We start from the raw sequence: 6,000 nt of genomic DNA, 5'->3' as shown, positions 1-6,000 counted from the left end.
GTTATTGTAAGCATTTTATAAAAATATATTTCCAATTCTTCCTTCCCATTTCTTGTGCCTTGTTTGCCATACATTTCACTTTTCCATATGTTATAAACACATATTCTATTGTTACCATGTTTGCTTTTAACAGTTATCTTTTAGAGGAAATATAAATAAAGAAAAAATGTTTTACTTTGCTTTTATTTATTTTATTTTGGTGCTTTTTTGACCTTTATCATATTCCTTCTCCCTAAAGATCTACCTTTATTTTTTATTTATTTATTTATTTTTTTGAGACAGAGTCTCGCTCTGTCACCCAGGCTGGAGTGCAGTGATGCGATCTCTGCTCACTGCAAGCTCCACCTCCTGGGTTCACACCATTCTCCTGCCTCAGCCTCCCAAGTAGCTGGGACTACAGGCACCCGCCACCATGCCCAGCTAATTTTTTTTTTTTTTTTTTTTGTATTTTTAGTAGAGACAGGGTTTCACCATGTTGGCCAGGAAGGTCTTGATCTCCTGACGTTGTGATCTGCCCATCTTGGCCTCCCAAAGTGCTGGGATTACAGGCGTGAGCCACCGCACCCGGCCTAAAGATCTACCTTTAGTATTTATGGTAGAGTAGGTTTACTGGCAATGAATTTCCTCAGTCTCTGTCTGCCTGAGAAGGTTTTTACTTCTCATATCTTTTTAAGGATATTCTAAGTAGGTATAGAATTTTGGATTGCCAGCCTTTTTTTTTTTTTTCATTTAGTACTTTAAAGATGTTAATCCATTGTGTTCTGGCTTGCATGGTTTCTGACAGAAGTCTGTTGTAATTCTTATCCTTGTTCCTCAATAGATAGCATGTTTATTTTCTCTGATCACCTTCAAGAGTTTCTCTTTGTCTTTGATTTACAGCAGTTTACATATGATATGTGTAGGTATGTTTGTTTCTTTGTTTTTGGTATTTATCCTGCTGGTGTGCTCTGGTATTCTTAGGTCTTTGATTCTGTGTCTCTAAGTTTTTTCTTCTTTTTAACTATAAAATTCAGTGTCTGTACAGACTGTCAAAAATTGCCAATGCTGACTATATTTCAAGTCATCATGGTGGAGTATTGGGAAAAGTTTTCAATTAGCAATAATCACACCTCAGATAAACCTCATTGGCTATGATACTGCCACTGCATAAAGCTCTGTCACTAATTTTTAAAAGTTCTCAGCCATTATTTTTCTCAGATACGTTTTCTGCCTAATTTTATCTTTCTTCTTCTTCTGGAATTCTAATTATGCTTATGTTAGACTGTCTGATATTTCTGATATTGTCCTACAGTTCTTGGATTATCTGTACTGTCTTGAGATTTTTTTTGCTTTTTTCCTCTTTGCATTTTATTTTGGGTAATATCTTTAAGTTTACTTATTCTCTACCCAGCTCTACAAATTATACTGATGGGCCCATCAAAAGCGCATCTCATCTCCATTACTGTGTTTTGTTTCTAGTATTTATTTCCATTTGATTCTTTATAATGGTTTCCATTTCTCTGCTGAAATTACCTATCTGGTCTTGCATGCTGTCTACCTTTTCCTTTAGATCCTTTAACATATTAATCATAATTAATGTCTGATAGCTCCAACATCTGTATCATATGTGAGTCTGGTCCCAATGTTTGCTTCATCTCTTCAGAGTGTGCTTTTCATGGTTTTTTGTATGCCACATTTTTGTTGTTGTTATTGAGAGCTGGAAATATTAAATAGAACAATATGGTGAATATTCCAGTTCCAGGATCAAATGCATGTGACTAGAGACAATTTAGGAATGAAAAGAAGTTATGTGGAGGTTTTATAACCTACAGTTCAAGTCTACAGTGGTTTGGAAATAGACTTTGAAAAATGGGCAGCTTAGACTTTCCCCCCACTTTAATTTTTTAAAATCAGGATAAAGCATACATATGGGTTTTTTTTTTAATCATAGTCTATAGCAGAGGTCAGCAAATTTTTTCTTAAAAAGCCAAATGACAAATATTTTAGGCTATGTGCTCTCTGTCACAACTACTCAACTCTCCCATTATCAACACAAAGTCATCCATACACTCATACATCCACATATTTATACAAATGAGTGTGACTGTGTCCCAATAAAACTTTATTTACAAAAGAGGCAGCCAGCCTGTGGGCCATAGTTAACTGATTCCTGAGCTATAGAATAATATTAAATGAGCAAAGTCTTGCTCTCCATGAAGGAGTCCTGCTCTCCAGGATAACCACATTTAACTATTTTTTGCATTCTTTGGGTGGATGCACACATAATTCTATGTAATATAGGCTTATAACTCTATTTATTGATATATTAATCTATTGAGACTCCCTCACCCAACCATGAAACATGAGAAAATTTCCTCCCAGCACTTTGGGAGCCCAAGGCGGGTAGATCACTTGAGGTCAGGAGTTTGAGATCAGCCTGGCCAACGTGGTGAAACTCCATCTCCAATAAAAATACAAAAATTAGCTGGGCATGGTGGCAGGTGCCTGTAATTCCCAGAGACTTGGGAGGCTGAGGCAGGAGAATTGCTTGAACCTGGGAGGTGGGGGTTGCAGTGAGCCAAGATTATGCCACAATACTCCAGCCTAGGCAACAGAGCAAGACTCCATCACAAAAAATAAAAAAACTAAAAATTAAAACACTTTTTTTAAAAAATAAAATTTCCTGTCTTACATTACCTCTTTTTTCTGTGATAAGCAGGTAAACCCACCCCCAGAGGCCAAAGGAGCTGAGAGGTAAAAGAAAGAGACTAACAAATCCAGTTTCTCAGAAAGAAACATTTAGGCTGGGCATGGTGGCTCATGCCTGTAATTCCAGCACTTTGGGGGGACTGAGGCAGATAGATCCCTTGAGCCCAGGAGTTTGAGACCAGCCTAGGCAACATAATGAGACTCTATCTCCACCAAAAATACAAAAATTAGCTGGGCATGGTGGTGCATGCCTGTAGTCCCAGCTACTTGGGAGACTGATGTGGATCACTTGAGCCTGGAAGGCGGAGGTTGCAGTGAGCCATGATCATGCCATTGCACTCCAGCCTGAACAACAGAGTCATACCCTAACTCAAAAAAAAAAAAAAAAAAAGTCACTCTGTTGCCCAGGCTGGAGTGCAGTGGCATGATTTCACCTCACTACAGCCTCCGCCTCCTGGGATCAAGTGATTCTCCTGCCTCAGCCTCCCAAGTAGCTGGGATTACAGGAGTGCATCACCACGCCTGACTAATTTTTGTATTTTTAGTAGAGATGAGGTTTCACCATGTTGGCCAGACTGGTCTTGAACTCCTGACCTCAGGTGACACTCGCCTGCCTCACCCTCCCATAGTGCTGGGATTACAGGCATGAGTCACCGCATCTAGCTAAGAAAGAAAGAAACATTTAATAGGAACTAACAAACAGAAGCAATATCTCTGGTGGCCAAGAGACGGTTGATTCCTATACTTGCCCTCCAGAAAGTAGTCTTTATATAGCAAGCTGCTTTTGGTAAAACATGTACAGTTGGTCACGTCTCAGACCCTCCCACAAAGTGTGTGACCACTGGGAAAGTTAGATAAGCATCTTTATAAGGGGTTATCTATGCTACAGGAATTGTTTCTTGGCCTGACTGCAGGAACACCTTGGTATTCAGGAGTCAAACATCGATCCTGATGGTGATTTCACTTCAGGTGGCATTACTCTTGCCTTGCAACAGGCTGTTTTCTTACACTCTTTCCTCCGCAACCCTCTAAGACTTGTCTTTCATCAACATATATTAATAGTTTTTCCCATTGGTTTGTTTCCCTTTATAACTTTGCTGTTTCTTTTTCCATTAACAGGAGACCGTTCCTCTTGAGCCTCCCCTGGGCAACATGAGGATCTTGCTATTCCTTCCTCACCCTACCCTTCTCCCCATCTTTGCCCGACTGCTATTAATGCTACTGTTACTTTCACAGCACCCATATTATAATGTTTGCATTCTGTTTTGTAAATTAATTAGGTCTTTGGTGCTCTGCCAGAAGTTGATTCTAAAAATTGCAACCGAAGAAACAATATTTACATTATTTTAATTATATAAATATTAGTCATTGCAGAACTAAGTAGTGTGATTGGAGAAATAAATATAATTCACTGGTACTAAATCAGTTCCAAGCATCAAAGTCACATGGGTTCTTTTTTCTTATACTCCAGTAAATACTCAAAATCATGTCACGTTTCAATTTTCAGTCTAACCAATAATCTTCAAGAACTCTTGTTCTCTGCACCTTTACTGGGTCAACCTACTGTTGTTTCTTGGAAGCAATGTGCTGACATGGCGCTCTGAGACGTCCACATCTTGAATCGTCTCTCCTTTCCCTGGGAACCAACCTTGGGTTGCTTATCTTGGTTCTTCTCTTTGAAGCTGTTAGTTTTCCTAAAGGTTATCTTGAGGAAAGCTTCAGTTCTTCATATTCTAGGAGGTATTCAAAAGAACGTCATTAATCCATTAGGCTGAACTGTTTTCTCCTTTCTCCCTGTGTATTGGTATGATTGATATTTTAACAGCCTGGGAAGCTAAGAGTGACGTCAACAACCTCAGCTGCACTGAGAGTGAGGTGAATCATTCCAGAGAGTTCTGAGCCCAAACACACACTGGCTTGAGTGGTCCTGGGCTTGGTGTTCCCAACAAAGGCTCTTAGAACTCTCTTTAAGCCTCAGTCAGTATTTGGTGATCCAGTGGGTGTTTTCCAAGCCAGGCTGTCAGCTTGAAGAGTTCTCCCTTGGGGCAAAGTCCTTTTAGCATCTCAATTTAGGTAATGAGTTCCCTTTAAAATGCTGAAAGGACCTGATGTGGTGGCTCACATCTGTAATCCCAGCACTCTGGGAGGATGAGGCGGGCGGATCACTTGAGGCCAGGAGTTTGAGACCAACCTGCCCAACGTGGTGAACTGCTGTTTCCATTAAAAATGCAAAAATTATCTGGGCGTGGTGGTGGACGCCTGTAACTCCCAGCTCCTTGGGAGGCTGAGGCAGGAGAATCACTTGAAACCTGTAGGTGGAGGTTGCAGTGAGCCAAGATCACACCACCGTACTCCAGCCTGGGCAACAAAGTGAGACTCAAATAAGTAAATACATAAATAAAATGCTGAACAGGTTAATCCCTTGACCTTCTAAAATTGGGAAAGCTGGGTTCCAGGGGCTGAGCACAATGCACAGAAATAAACGATGTGAGTCATTGGTTCCAGGAACTCAATATTCTCAGCGAGGGGCCCTCCAGAGCAGCAAGTGCCAATGGAAGCATCTCTAAATTAATTGGATCTCTTTGTAAATCCAAAGGACAAATTAAATAAATGAATTGTCTGAGGCCAGTTGATTTGTAGTTCACATTTCCTCTGCAAAGGCTTGACTACAGATTTATTCATGCATTTCTGAAGCCACGTGATTTAGTGCTGAGGCCTTCTTGGGCCTTTGATAACTGCCATGATTATTAAGGCCTTGGAAGGTATAAAATGTGTTTTTCCACAATATTTACTTATGTCCTCTGTACAAAATGCATAAATATGTTACCAAGAATGTTACTAAAAACAGAAAAGAAAGGGCATGTTGTTTTTTTCTTTTCCCTCTGAGGCACTGCTTAAATATCATCTGCAAATTGTTAATTGCTCAGCTTGCGCTTTTATGACAGGGTTGGACCTGGGGAATGAAAAACAGCTCCCAGTGCTGATGCAGGGACACACCTGGCTGGCAACTCTGTTTTCAGAATGCCAAAGAGTGTAGGCTTCATTCCTTCATTCTGTAATAGGGTACAATGGGCATTGTCTAACCTTTATTTTAGCTACTTAGAGGGAAAAAAGCTACCATGACACTTGTGGTAGTTAATTTTATGTTTCAACTTGACTAGGTCACTGGTTGCCCAGATAGCTGGTTAAACATTATTTCTGTATTTGTCTGTGTGGGTGTTTCTGGAAGAGATTATCATTTGGATTAGTGGGCTCAGTAAAGCAGATTGCCATCAGCAATACAGGTAGGCATTGCCCAATCTATTGAAGACC

At 40.1% G+C, this 6,000-nt stretch overlaps 1 pseudogene, besides 1 other annotated feature; it reads right to left on the bottom strand.

Annotated features, from left to right (window-relative positions):
- Positions 1,011-1,154, bottom strand: RNU4-84P (RNA, U4 small nuclear 84, pseudogene; annotated as a pseudogene).
- Positions 4,440-5,004: an enhancer, noted in NCBI's record as "NANOG hESC enhancer chr2:99395023-99395587 (GRCh37/hg19 assembly coordinates)". NCBI's record gives its function as "activates a minimal SCP1, AML or CMV promoter by ChIP-STARR-seq in naive H9 embryonic stem cells {active_cell/tissue: H9 hESC(naive)}" and the evidence as "EXISTENCE:reporter gene assay evidence [ECO:0000049][PMID:30033119]".

Source organism: Homo sapiens, chromosome 2 (genome assembly GCF_000001405.40).
Source record: "Homo sapiens chromosome 2, GRCh38.p14 Primary Assembly".
In the NCBI taxonomy this organism is placed as follows: domain Eukaryota; kingdom Metazoa; phylum Chordata; class Mammalia; order Primates; family Hominidae; genus Homo; species Homo sapiens.
Note: the sequence above shows the minus strand (reverse complement) of the source record. Positions and strands in the feature narration are given on the sequence as shown.